The sequence below is a fragment of the Homo sapiens genome, chromosome X, assembly GCF_000001405.40.
Source record: "Homo sapiens chromosome X, GRCh38.p14 Primary Assembly".
Lineage (NCBI taxonomy): Eukaryota > Metazoa > Chordata > Mammalia > Primates > Hominidae > Homo > Homo sapiens.
The window spans coordinates 103,365,538-103,380,221 of record NC_000023.11 but is presented as its reverse complement, the minus strand read 5'-3'; the positions used below and the strand labels follow the sequence as shown (position 1 = coordinate 103,380,221).

The 14,684-nt window shown below is 41.5% G+C and overlaps 1 protein-coding gene across 4 annotated transcripts; it reads right to left on the bottom strand.

Annotated features, from left to right (window-relative positions):
* Positions 1-2,057: 2,057 nt before the first annotated feature.
* Positions 2,058-3,899, bottom strand: BEX3 (brain expressed X-linked 3). Of its 4 annotated transcripts, none has more exons than NM_206915.3 (3): positions 3,609-3,684; positions 3,116-3,194; positions 2,058-2,759 (listed from the first exon to the last, which is right to left on the bottom strand). In NM_206915.3, the coding sequence occupies exon 3, from the start codon at positions 2,728-2,730 to the stop codon at positions 2,395-2,397; it is 336 nt and encodes a 111-aa protein (NP_996798.1). In that variant the 5' UTR covers positions 2,731-2,759; positions 3,116-3,194; positions 3,609-3,684; the 3' UTR covers positions 2,058-2,394. The 4 variants fall into 4 exon arrangements, with proteins under 4 accessions (NP_996798.1, NP_996800.1, NP_001269603.1 ...); NM_206917.3 differs by having other exon boundaries at positions 2,058-2,712; NM_001282674.1 differs by lacking the exon at positions 3,116-3,194 and having other exon boundaries at positions 3,609-3,899.
* Between the last annotated feature and the right edge of the window lie 10,785 nt (positions 3,900-14,684).

Below are 14,684 nucleotides of genomic sequence, written 5' to 3'. Positions count from 1 at the left end.
TGCATAATTTATTTAATAATTTCATAATTATTACATTTATTATTAATAATAAATTCATGATAAAGCATTAGTTTAATAGGATATTTGAAAAGAAGATAAAACAGTACTGGTTTAAGTATAAACATACATTGATGGCCTAATGTCTAATTTTGGAATGCTGTACTTTGGAAACGTATATGCATTGTGGAATCAAGTAAGTAAGGTAATTTGGATCACGAAATTTGTAAAATGGTGTAATTACTGTCAGTGTTTCTCTATGCCTATGTTGTCAAAACTCAGATGCATGAGAATCACTTGGGAAACTGTCAAAATAGTAATTCCTGATTCTGGTGATTCAGGTGGTCACAGTGGCTGGTTGGGGGTGGGACGAGCACCCAACTGTCAACATTTTTAACACTTTCCCTAGGTAATTATGATGCACGTAAGGCGTCTATGTTTCCCTAAACACTAACATATACAAGGTTTAAAAAAAAGTTTACAGAATTTGAGTTAGAAACTTTCCTTGCTATGTTCCTTTGGAAATAATATAATGCTTTCCACATAACTAGTTACTTGCCTTTGGCCCCTTAGTTAAGGATAGTGAGTTAGGGACAGTTTTGAGCTGGATTTCTAACTCTTAGTTAATTAATCAATCAAAATAATTAATAATTTAATATCTACTATGTCGGGCACTATACCAGAAACTGTCTGGAGAAAAGGGCACACACTCACAAAGAAATAACAATGCCAAATACTTAATATAGTTTTTAAGAACTTACAGAGTAGTTTCATGGTTCAGGTATGGACAAGAAGGGAGTGTGTTTCCGCTTTAAAGAAAATTTGTTCTCCCAATGTAATTTACATGTCTAGGTAAGTCTGTTAAACTGGGTGGGCAGGCCTGCCAAGAGTCTCCTTTGAGAAAATCCGTATCAAGGATAGAAACACAGGCACAAATAAAGCCTTCAGCCTGTTTGTATTGTGGAGGTTTGCAGTAATGCAATTCAGGGCACACTCAGATGCATTTTCTCAGTTAGGCCGCAGTGCACTCTTGTCTGAGTTATTTGAAGGAGTTATGAAAGAAAACCAGAAAGGGCTATTTTTCTAAGAACCAATGTAATCCCAAGAACCACAAGAGTTGTACTCACCAGGATAAATATAACTCTCAAGTTATAAAGACATTCTCCACAATTCTATAGAGGTCAAAGGGGGATTTGGCTCACCAGAGACTCCAGAGAAATCAGTGGGGCTTGTTACCTTGAAGACCCTAGCACCTCATCAACAGCAACAGAAATAGGATCCAGCAGAAGGGAAAGTGTGGCCAATCAAGAAGGCAGTAATCAGGGGAGCAGGAGGATTGCAAATAACAAGAATGATATGGGGGAACCCACCTATTTTCACTGTCTGGACTTGTAAACATGAGTGATAATTCCTCCAGTCCTAAGTACCTGATGGGGGTCCCGGTCCTGTTAAATGTTGGGGAGTTGGGGACAGAAGCCAGCCCAACACAGTTCCACATTTCATCAGTTCCACTCAGCAGCCCTGTAAGACAAGCATTGTTCCCCATTTCACAGAGCAGAAAACGGGCTCTTTAAAGGAATGCATCTGTAATAAAGGGAAGGTTTATTATTCCAGTTAAGACTGAAGGATAGTTAGAGTTTACTCTTCAAATTTGTTGAGCCAGTATTGTTACGTATCTGCACTACATTCATAATCTCATTGAAAAATAATTTTCATTGCTTCTCAAACTCCAGATAATAAAAGGAAAAAAATGTCACATATTACTTTTTTTTTTTTGAGACTGTCTGGCTCTGTCGTCCAGGCTGGAGTGCAGTGGCGTGATCTCGGCTCACTGCAACCTCCGCCTTCCGGGTTCAAGCCATTCTCCTGCCTCAGCCTCCCGAGTAGCTGGGATTACAGGCGTGTGCCATCACGACCGGCTAATTTTTTGTATTTTTTTTTCAGTAGAGACAGGGTTTCACCGTGTTAGCCAGGATGGTCTCGATCTCCTGACCTCGTGATCTGCCTACCTTAGCCTCCCAAAGTGCTGGGATTAGTTAACACACAGAAATGTTCACCAATTAACACTCTAGTGTATTTAATCTCAGATTTTTTTTTAGTTCATCTGTTATATGTAAGTATACATTTTTAATGAGACAATAAATGTATAGATTGCTTTTTAAATTGCTTTATTAGCTTTAAATTTTTCCATGCAAATGGGTGAAACTACTGCTGACAGAAACTTACACTGAGTGCAAAGGCAATCTTCAAATAGAAGCTGGCAACACAAGACCCACTTGACACATGGAAATAACATAGGGTTCACAGCAAACGGATCAGTAAAGGCATATTAGGAAAATGCAAGGAAAAAGAAAACAGCGGGAATCACAGTATTAATCTCATGATAAATGGCAGGAGTCAAGGCATAAGGCAAAATTCATCATGATGGTCATGGTGATTAGAGAGCTCCCCCATAAGGATACGCAGACAATTCCTCAACTGCAGCTCCCTAAGTTTTCTTCTGATTTCTCTCATCTCCTCCATGAATATTTCCATATCATCTCCATCTCCACCCATCCCATCATTGATCTGCCTATTGGGTATGGCCCATCGAAAATTAGGGGCAAGTCGGCGAGCCTGTCCCCGTCGATTTCCTGCAGGCTGGTGGCCTTCACCTCCTCCCAAAGGGCGGTCTTCCTCTCCATTCTGCATAGGCTGCTCCATCTCTTCGTTTTCCTGGTGAATATTTGCCATGATGAGATTTTTTTTTTCTGGTTGTTTTTCTTTGAACACAAGTAAGACAAAGGCAAGGAGAGAGACTGAATGCTTGGTGCTCTGACCAGCAGGATTCAGAGCCCTGATATCAAAGGATTTTTTAATTTCGTTTTTTCCCACCTTAGAAGTTCCGCGCGTCCTCTACGGGGCCTCCAATTAAAGCCCCTCCCTCCAGCTTTCTCCCCTTACCTCCCTTCCCCCAAACCCACCATTTTTCGTTTCCCGGGATTCTTTCCCAGAGCTTTGCAGGCACCAAAATGGAGGACCGGTATAGGAGTGGGGGATGGGGTGGAGGGGGTTGGGGTCTCAGACTGGGCTTTCCTTACGTTCCGACCCCCGCCCCACCACCGTCCCTCGCACCGACCTGGGCCTATCCTTGCAGTCTCCTTCTCCTCCGGATTCTCGCCGCGAGGTGCGCCGCGGAGACACTTAGCCTCGCAGACCTGCAGTCGAGCCGGGGTGGGGGTTGTGGGGGGTGGGGGCTGCTGCAGCGGAACGCTAGCGAAGACCCGCCGCCGCCCGGCCCTTTCCGTGCTCCGAGCCCGGGCTCCCCTCGCTGCCAGCGCCCCGCGTCTCCCGCCCCCCACCCCCACCCCACCCTCGAACGCCCAGCCCCCCGCGGTGTTCGCTGTTTTCCTGCAGGGACTCGGGGGTGGGTTTCCATCGCTCTTGGTGGCTCTGCCGCCCCTGGAAACCCAGCCGCCCCTGCTTCCCCATCCCTGGGGGCCTCTGTGTTCCCAAGCATGTTGGGGTGTGGAGAAAGCTGGCGGGGACCCCCTGCGCTGTTCTGCGCCTGTCGCCGAGGTCGGTCAGCCGCTGCTGGCATGGCCGGGGCTCACGGGCCCCGGAGCCCTTACCTGCTCCGCTTTTCCCCGGGCCGAATGCCAGCCCGCCGAGCTCAGGGCAGCGGGGAGCTGGTAGCCAGACGCGAGTGACGACTGCACCGAAGGCTGCGTCGCTCTGCAGCTCTGGGTCACGTGAGGGCCGCGCGTCACCACCGAGCTCGCCCCCCAACTTGGGCGGCCAGTGCAGCAGGATCTCCCCCTTCCCCCCACCCGCCACCGCCATATGCACGCGCAAAAAACAGCCTCCCTACTCCCGTCTGCATGAGGTGCCCCAGAGCGCACAGCCCTGTCACTCTTCTCGGTCCTCTCCAATCTGAGGGCCCACAAGTGGCATCACTGCTCTGCGGTTGGAGTTTGCCCTCCTCTGGTTACCAGGGAGGGTCTGCATCATCCTCCACCACTGCCCCCTCTCACTTCAGGCCTTGGCTTTGGCCTTTTCTGCTTTCTCTCCTTTTCTACCTGGCAACATGCTTTGCGCTGCACTCCCACTTCTACCCCTTGCGTGTGCACAGCCATCAATGCCCACGTAGCCCCTGAATTCCTACCCTTCTAGAAAATTTAGAGTGAGGGCTAAGGTGGGGAGGCAGGAGGGCATTTGTCAGAAAGCGGGGCAAGGAAGTGGAGTGGACTGTATATATTTCTTTTTATTTCCTTAAAAAATCTGCATGCTTCAGAAAATTATAAATTATAAGTTTTTAATTTTGAAAGAAATGCTGGTTGGGCGCGGTGGCGTACCTGTAATCCCAGCACTTTGGGAGGCCGAGGCGGGTGGATCACTTGAGGCCAGTAGTGTGAGACCAGCCTGGCCAACATGGTGAGACCCCATCTCTACTAAAAATACAAAAATTAGCTGGGCGTGGTGGCGTGCGCCTGTAATCCCAGCTACTCGGGGGGCTGAGGCAGGAGAATCGCTTGAACCTGGGAGGCGGAGGTTGCAGTGAGCCGGGATCGCACCACTGCACTCCAGCCTGGGCGACAGAGCAAGACCCTGTCAAAAAAAAAAAAAAAAAAAAAAAAAAAAAAGGAAATGCTTTATCCTGCACAATGAAATCTCTCATTGTTTATGTTGACCTGTACCACACAAAATATTTTTTCTGGGCTCCACACAACATCAAGCCATTACTTTTGATACATACTAGCTCGTTTAAAATTTTATTTTTGGCCGGGCATGGTGGCTCACGCCTGTAATCCCAGCACTTTGGGAGGCCGAGGCGGGCGGATCACGAGGTCAGGAGATCGAGACCATCCTGGCTAATACGGTGAAACTCCGTCTCTACTAAAAATACAAAAAAATTAGCCAGGCGTGGTGGCACGTGCCTGTAGTCCCAGCTACTCGGGAGGCTGAGGCAGGAGAATCGTTGAACCCGGGAGGCAGAGGTTGCAGTGAGCCGCGTCGCACCACTGCACTTCAGTCTAGGCGGCAGAGCGAGACTCCGTCTCCAAAAAAAAAAAAAAGAAAAGAAAAAAATATATAAAAAGGCGGGACTCTTTCTTTTTCTTTTTTTTTTTTCCCCCGAGACGGAGTCTCGCTCTGTCGCCCAGGCTGGAGTCAGTGGCGCGATCTCGGCTCACTGCAAGCTCCGCCTCCAGGGTTCATGCCATTCTCCTGCTTCAGCCTCCGGAGTAGCTGGGACTACAGGCGCCTGAAAGGCGGGACTCTTTCTGAACACAGTTGGTGTTTTCGAAATGATCTGTAAAGTGAATCTTCAGGGAGCAGTCTGGTCGTCAGATCTTCACCATTTTATGTAACTTTGATGTTTTTGATATCACAGTCATCAGAGAAAGGGAGTCTTTTATTCCCTGCTTTCCTTTCCAAACCTTTCAAACCATCCCTACAAATATCTTCTTAGTATGAGCTCAGAAGTTAAGTACATATTATGCAGAAAGTAGTTTCAAAACCATCTACCCTTTGGTGCGAATGTTTCAAAATATATTAGAAATAAGCAGGGGGTGTGTGAAACAACTTAACTTGAGACTGAACCTTATCCTGAGTGCAAATGTTCCTTTCTCCAACTTGAAATCATTTTTAAAAAAATTATCACAGCTAGAAAATAGAGATGTCTTTAGAAAAGTGGCATTGTTATAAAAAATATTTGATATCTGTTGTTTATGATAAGGAACCAAAAGCATTAAATGCAGCACTGAGGCAAGACAAGCCAGACAAATGCTTACTAACTCTAGTTTTGGCCCCAAACTCCTGTAGAATTTCCTACCCTGCTAAACCAGATGACACAGTGAATAAAGGAAGAGTATATGCCCAGTGTGTATGTAGTTAGACGTTTTGGAGATATGTATTCCATATAAAATTACATATATATTCTTCTAGAGGTATATGGATATATTAGTACATAGCTCCAAAACATCAAATTATAAAATCACACTCAATATTTGTCTTTTAAAGAAATGTTAGTGATTCCTGGATTCTGTCTCACAGTTAAGAACTTTTTATACAGATTGCTATATTAATGATATCAGCTGGAATGATGCAGTTTCAAAGCATGAACAGTAGTATCAGACAAGTCTGGCTTCAAATTCAGTCAGCTGTTTACTTGATGTTCAACTTTGGATCAATTACTTATCAAGGTCTGTGTGCTTCCTCTGTGAAACAAGGATTGTTAGAATTACACATAACAATAATTTACTACATAGCCTAGTAAATCATCAATTTTTGTTGACATTATTTTTATTGTTATTCGATGGTTTCTAACATGATTTAAAGAGTAGCAGAGTATGATTCTTTCCTTAGCTAGACCCACTTGTTCTTAAAATCCATGAGGGCCCAAAACATGCTTGCTGTGTTCTATTTTGTGTACCCAGTGACTAATAGTGTTCCTTGCACCAAGTAGGTGATTACTGAATACTTGTTGAATGAATGTATCCAGTACTGAGGCGAATAGGTTGTTTTTCATTCTGGGGACTGTATTTAGAGCAATACGGAAAAGCTTTTATGAAAATTAAGAATTACCTAGAAAAAAATCTCCTGAAAGCTGAGAAGCCACTGTGATGTGACTATTGGATATGAAGTTTAGCAAGTGGATTTTTATTTCTTTTGGTGGCTAAATGCTTTGCTGTTTTCCTTTTCACCCATCTTGGATAAATCCTGTGTTCAAAACCATCAAATTTCCTTGGATGAAAACAGACATTTGTTTGTAACATCCAGATTGGATATTATGCTATATTGATTAGTTGTAATAAAGTAATGTTTTAAAGATAGGTGAAAATTATCCGGGAAATGCTGTTATCTTTACTAAAATGTTGTGAATAGGAGTTGATTGAGATGTTTTCTTGACCCTGAAGTTTTCTGAGGAGTTGGAAATAGACAGCACACTGTTGAGAACAAAAACAAATTTTTTCAAGGCCAAGTTAGAAGGACACTATATTCTGCATTTGGGATTCATGTGTCCCAAAAGGCAGAGAGAAGGTGAACTGATTAGATGGTTCTTATCCCCACACACACGTTTTACACATGTTTCAAGCCCAGGAGCCTCAATTCTAATCTGCCCTGGAGGCACCAGGAGGACTCAGAATGAAAAGTGAGATTGGCATTTGAAAATGAATAGAACCAAATCTTTAGTCTGACTGAAACTATTTTAATAAGCAGTAGTGACTGAAAAGTTGGAGAACTGGACAGAAATGTAGTTAAAGAAGCCCATTGCCCCATGCGAAGTGGGGGAGGGAGTGATAGAAAGAACACTGCTGATACAGCTATTGGAAAAATAAAACTGTTTCATGATTTGACCTCAACTAGTGAAGATCCCTCTATTGTATTAGTATCCCATCAGTGGAAGCTCGTTTTTGCTGAAATCTTTATGTGTATTGCCATGACATGGCTCACATGTACTTGTCTGAAATGCACCTGGTTGGACTGTGGTTATTGTCCTGTTTTCCTCTCATTATCTCTCCTGTGTAAATGCTAGGCTTGGGAGAAGGTAGTCTGAGCCCTAGTGGGCCCTGTGGGTATGAGTATCTCTGTTCCTGCCTAGAATAGGTTCTCTATGTACCTCTCTGATGCTTTACTGATACTTTTTTATTGTGATTCTCTCTTTCTCTCTAAATTTAAGCACCGATTACAGACTGAAACTAGGTGTTAAGAATATAGGAAATTATGCCTACTCCAGCTTTCCTCTAAGCTATGGCCATTATAACTTTGATGCCAAGATTTCCAAAATGTGGAATGAATCTGATGAAATTTTAAGGGTGTCACTGTAAGAGTTTCAATGATTTGGGAGATAATATATTTAATTCAAGAGATCTAGTCTGAAAAAATAAAAGGGCTATGAGACTAAGATGTCTGAACGTGAAAGCAGCAAATATTCAGCACCTCATTATCTATTGGGGAACTGAGGGGTATTCTTTTCTTTATTTCATGGATTGCAGATAATATCTTGAGACACCGGAGACCCGTGGCCACTCTTTCCTGTTGTTTAGGACTCTGGTGGAAAAGGAGCTCTGCCCTATGCAGTCTCCTAAACTGATGACATTAGCTGGACTATGTGTAGGCCAAGAGAACTCCTTTGGCCCTTCTAGCTTTAGGCTGAGGTGAGCACCTTTCTTACTTTTCCCAGGACTTAGGGATGAACTTTGAGGAGTAACAAAACTCATGCATAAACGTTCATGAAGTCACTTTATCTTATTTCACTGTTACTACTCCCATGTAAGTTCCATTGCTAGTATACAGTGCAACAAGGGGAACCTGATTTTTTTTTTTTTTTTGAGACGGAGTCTCGCTCTGTCGCCCAGGCTGGAGTGCAGTGGCACAATCTCAGCTCACTGCCACCTCCGCCTCCTGGGTTCACACCATTCTCCTGCCTCAGCCTCCCGAGTAGCTAGGACTACAGGCGCCTGCCACCATGCCCGGCTAATTTTTTATATTTTTTAGTAGAGACGGGGTTTCACCGTGTTAGCCAGGATGGTCTCGATCTCCTGATCTTGTGATCCACCCGCCTTGGCCTCCCAGAGTGCTGGGATTACAGGCGTGAGCCACCGCGCCTGGCCAGGGAACCTGATTTTTCACACAAATTTAAAAGACAGAGAAGAAACAGGAGAAATATATTTATACCATATGTGCTATGGGTTGAATTGTATCCCCCCAAGATATATATTGAAGTCCTAAGCCTTATAACCTCTGATTGTGACCTTGTTTGGAAACAGAGCCTTTGAAAATATATTCAAATTAAGGTGATGTCATTAAGCTGGGCCCTAATACAATATGACTGGTGTCCTTATAAGAAGAGGAAAACCAATCCAAGGACAGAGGCAGAGATTACAGTGATGCAGCTTCAAGCCAAAGAATGCCAAGGGTTGACAACCATGACTAAAAGCTAGGAAGAGGCAAGAAAAGAATCTACCCAGAGTCTCTGAGGAAACATGGCTCTGCTGACTCCTTGATTTTGAAATTCTAGCTTCCAGAGCCATGAAAGGACACATTTTTGTTGTTTTAAGCCACCCAGTTTGTGATACTTTGTTACAGCCATCCTAGGAAACCAACAATATGTGAAAGAAAAAGAAAGTTAACATCCATTATATTTAAAGAGCTCTTACAAATTAATAAGAAAAAAATGAACATACCAATGGGAAAATGAGCAATGGATATGAATAAGTAGTTTACAAAAGAAACAAACATGGCCAATAAAAAAATTTATTATTTTAACAAATAATAGTTGAGCATTTATCATGTGCAAATTGCTGTTTTAGGTACTAAGGATGCAGGAGGAAACAGCGTAGACAAGGGCCCTGTTGTCAAAGACCTTCCATTATATTGGATAATGTTGGGGCTTAGAAACTGATACCCCAAGATATGGTGCTTTGACATGCTGAACTGAAGAGGAACCTCAAGGTCCGTCTGACCTTTCCCACACACTTCTTCACTCTCAATCCTGTCTCTCACAAAGCACAGGATGAAGTTGTTTTCTGAAGTTCCCTTATTTATCTAAAGTCCAGACTCATTAAAGAAGAAAACAATTATCTCTAGTCCCTTCCCTGAGCTTTCATTAACTACACTCATATCTCAGGAAGAAAGACTGAAGTCTGTCAACATGCCTAGACAGACTTTTGTCACAAGCCATTGTCTGCTTTGGATACCCAACAGACTATGTCCCAGGTCATTGTATGTTCTTCAAGCCCATTGAAATAGGATAATAAAATAAACTGTGAGGCCAGAAAAATGGATTAGTAGGCTTATAGAACAGTGGATTTTATAGCTGTGTTTTCTATGCCTTTGCCTAATTTTGGATTTATAGGGTAGGTTTTATGATCTCAAGTACTAGGCCTTCACAGATTGTGTACTATGAAAACCAAAACAACCTTAGAAATATTTTAGTACAAGGGTCCTATTATTCAAATTGAGAAACTGAGACCCAGAAAAATTAAGGGGCTTGCTCAGGTTTCCAAGAGGGTAGTAGTAGAACTAGATGTAGAGATAGCTTTGTTAGATCTACTAACTCCCAGGAAAGAAATCTTTTTCTTTTTCACTTGTTTTCTTAGTGTCTTAGTCAGTTTGGGCTGCTATAACAAAATAGCAGCTGAGTGGTTTAAACAACAAACATTTACTTCTCACAGTTCTGGTGCAAGATCAAGATGTCAGTAGATCCGATGTCTGATGAGGACCCACTTTCTGGTTTGCAGATGGTGATTTTCTCTGTAACATCACATAGTGGAAAGCAGAAAGAGGGGAAGCAAACTCTCTCATGTCTCTTCTTATAGGAGCACTAATCCCATTCATGAGGGCTCCACTCTCATGATCTAATTCCACAGACTCCACCTCCAAATACCATCACACTGGGTATTAAGCTTCAACATATGAAGTTTGGGGGGACACAAACATTCAGTCCATAGAACTTGGCCTATTTTATTTATTTATTTACCTTCTAGGATTATACATATTGTGCATAAACATCTAAGGAAATATTTGAATATTTTATCTATGATTGCCACCTGTCAATCTTAGTCTTCTGTCCCTCCTCTTATATCTTAGAAGAGGGCTTATGACAGTTTCAATCAATAGGGTAGAAGAGAGTAGAACTGATACTATGTGAGTTACAAGGCCAAATCATAAAAGACCATACAGCTTCACCCCTATTTACAGGAAACATTTGTTTTTGAAGCCCTGAGATGGCCATGTTGGATATGCTACATGTGAACCCTCTAGTTGACAGACCCAGATAAGCCTGTCCTTTAGTGTTCTCAGTCTCTGCTATCTCAACACCCAAAGTTTTGGCTCTTTTGGTGATGGGTGATACGTACAAATCATAAATCTTCCAATTTATGACTTTCCACATTTTTCAAGTATTCTACAGTAAATTAGGTGGACATGAGGATAAGCAACACATTATTTTAGAATACTACTAAAACTGATATTTTAGGTATTGGTATACAGATGATTTTAATCTATCTTTAATTAAAGTGCCAAAGATAAATATTCATTTTTTTCTCTTTATCTCTGTCTCTCACACACACCTTTTTTTTCCTACCTCTCTTCCTCCTCCCTCACTACACTCCTGCCCCAGCTGCTGAGTTAGGGGCTATATTTCCTGTCATGACTCTCAGAGACCCAGGCAGTAGTAGCATAAACGTATCTTGTGCTTACATTTTACACTTAGAAACCTTGCCTGGTGACTTGGTGCCCCTGCCCCTCTCTCATCCTCTTCCATTTGGTTGTTTTCATCTTTGAGATTAAAGATGCATTTCTGATATTGGCCATCATTACTTCTATCTTCTAAATCGTCTCCGAGGAAAAGGTTTCCTTTTGGCAAGGAGAAGGAAAAAAAAGCATTAAGTATTTTGAAAATTTGAGTTATAAAATAACACATACAGAATTATCCCAGTTTTCTTACACATACATAGTGATGAAAATAAAATAACACATATAAATGCTGATATATGCAAGGCATTGTTGTATATGTATATTCATTATTTCATTTATCATTTCAAAGATCCTATGAGGTAGGTGCTAGTAGTATTCTCTGTTTTACAAATAAAAGAATTGCAGGACAGTGAAGTTAAACAACAGACAGGAAGTGACAGAGCAAGAATTCAAACTCATATAGTCTAGTTCCTAAGTTTATGTTCTTAACCACTACTCAGTTTTATTTATTAGTAAGTCCCCAATCTAAATCTCATTCATTCTTTTCTTCATTCACCATTTCTTATTTAATATTGTTTGAACACTTTTCTGTGCTAGGCACAGCTTGCCCATATCCACTTCTGAATCTCAGGGCCATATTTAGGAGTTCTGATGCCCAAGACATAGCTCTTTCCATTTGATAAAAATATAAAAATAAAAATTTAATTCAATAAATATTTATTATCTATCATGTGCTAGGCAAGGCCCTGGAGATATAAAAGAGAACAAAGTAAATATAACATTCATATTCATGGAGTTCATGAATTAATGGGAGGAAACCATAAATTTAGTGCTGTAAATGCTGAAGGGGCACTTGGAGCACAGAGTAAGAGGACCTAATGCAGTTGCCGGTGAAGTCTTCAAAAACAAAATGATGTCTAGGAGATTGATTTCTGGTATGACAGCAGGAAGAGCTCTGCAGACATGTTCTCCAGTGAAACTGGTAAAAATTATAAAACAAAAGAAAACAACCATTTAAAGCCTCTGGAAATGCTCCTAAGGGCCATATAAAATGTGGCACAGGATACTGTCAAATCAATGGAGAAACATCTATTCAAGAAAATCCATAAAAACTCCATAAGAAAGATGAGAATCTGTGGCATTTGAACTTAGACATCTGCTCCCTCCCCACTTCCAGCTCAGAGAAACATAAACTGCATTCCTAACTGGTGGCCAAGAACACAAGGCATCCTCTCCCTCCAGCTGCCGGTCAGGGACTTTCTTCCTAGGAAGAGTAGGATGTCAGCATTTCTCATCCTGCCCCCAACTACCTGTTGCTGAGGCTAAGTCCTGGGTAAGTGCAATCAAGAGGTTGAGACTCCCATCTTCCATCCAGTCCCCACTAATGGAATGGAAGCTATCCCCTGGGTGTGGCACTGCTGAGAATGCTGAGGCCCTAATCATCCTTGCCCTGGCTTGCTGGGCATGGTTTCACAACATGAGAAGTAAGCTGAGAGGACCTTCAGGCTGTTGTTCCCTCCTGTACCTGAATGTCAGCTCCTAAAGCAGGAGTGTCAGAGAGAAGAATGCTATTGTTCCCACCCCCAGATCCAGAGCCCTGGCTCAAATATTTTTGCCTGAGAAGAGAAACAAGCCATAAAGCATTTATCTTGTAATATTTTCCCAGTAGAACTTACTTCATTTACAACAGAGCATGGAGAAGTTCAAGCCAATGTTGCTCCAAAAATAGTGGAAGTTGTGGTGGGGACACTTGGAAAGTAATTCATGGGTTTGGTGAAGCTAGCAGTTAACTATTGTCTGGCTGGATTGTTGGAGAGCACCAGAGAGGGAGCTGGCTGGGAGGAGCCCTCTTGGGGTCAGAACAAATGTCAAACACTGATGAAGAGAACCGTTCTTTCACTAGAACCCACATTTGATTAAATTAGTCTGCAGAGCAATTAATGGCCAAGAATATTGTTGGAAATAATAGACCAATCAGTTAGCAATTAGAGGAGCCTAACAGCTGACTATGGTCATGGAAAGACACTAGGAAAGCTCTATCGAAACCATTGTCATCTTAGGGTGTCTGTGGGCATATCAAAAGATGAGCATCCCTGAGGGGTAACATTAGAAGATTAATGCTGGAGGAAGAGAAATAAACTTTACTAAAATAAGCCAGCCAATCACTAAACAAACAGGCAAATAATAACAAGCCCTAGAAGGGGAGGACACAATAACCAGAGTGGCAACAACATATTATCTAAAATGTCTAGTTTCCAACAAAAAATTACAAGACATGCAATAAACAGGAAAGAATGACCCATACCTACACTGGGGGCGTGGGGGTGGTGGGGGAACAGGCAACAGAAACTGTCTGTGACAGTGGCCAGATGCAGGATATCACAGATGTAGGATATTCAAAGTAGCCATTATAAATATATTCTGATAATTAAAGGAAACTATGATTGAATAAGTAAAGGAAGATATGATCTCAATGTTGCATGAAATAGAAATGTCAATAAAGACATACAAATTATTTTAAAAAAAGAACTACATGGAAATTGTGGAGTTCAAAAGTCCAACAACCTAAATAAAAATTTCACTAGAGGAGCTCAAAAGTAGGTTTGAATTTACAGAAAAAAGAATTAGTGAACTTGAAGATAGATTGAATGTATGCAATTTGAGGGATAGACAGAAAAAAAGATGTTGAAAAATGATGAGATAGCCTTAAAGAAATGTGGGTCACCATGAAGTGCACCAACATATATGTAAAAGGAGTAGCAAAATGACAGGAGAGAAAGGCAAATGAAAAATACTTAAATAAATAATGGCAGAAGACTTTCCAAATTTATTGAAAAACTCCAATGCACACATTGAGGAAGGTTAGAAAAAACAAAACTCCTAACTAGATAAACACAAAGATATTCACAAGTAGATTCATCATAGTGAAAATGCGGAAAGTCAAAAACGAGGAGAAAATTTTGAAAGCAGCAAGAGAAAAACGACTCTTCACATTTAAGGGAACTTCAATAAGATTAACAGCTGGCTCCTCAGCAAAAAAACAAAACAAAAAAAAATTGATGAAGGTAAGAAGACTGTGGAACAACACAGTGAAAGTGCTCAAAAGAAAGAAAACCGTCTCTTAGTGACCAGCAGTTACAGGAAATAGAAAAGAAAAAGAAAACAGTGAACCAGGAATCTTATATCAAACAAATCTATCTTTCAAAATTAAAGGTGAAATTTAGACATTCCCAGATAGACAAAACCTGAGCAAAGTTGTACCTAGCTGACCTGGCTTACAAGAAATACTAAAGGGAGATCTTTAGGCTGAAAAAAAAAAAAAAACAAACAAACTCCAGATGGTGATTAAAATTCTACCAAAAAACAAAAAGCAATAGCGTAGATAAGATGTAATTATAAAAGAGAGTATATTGTATGCCTAAGTATAAAATAAAGTTTTCTCCCTTCTTAACTAGCTTAAAAAGCAATTGTATAAAATAATGTGTACCTAATGTATTGTTAGGCCT

What these genes read in the sequence shown, in the direction of transcription:
- BEX3 (NM_001282674.1), bottom strand. Translation starts at nt 3,819, where the DNA reads ATGGCGGTGGCGGGTGGGGGGAAGGGGGAGATCCTGCTGCACTGGCCG. An exon ending in CCCGGGGAAAAGCGGAGCAG is followed by an intron (nt 2,760 to 3,608) that starts GTAAGGGCTCCG and finishes TTGTGTTCAAAG; the next exon opens with AAAAACAACCAGAAAAAAAA.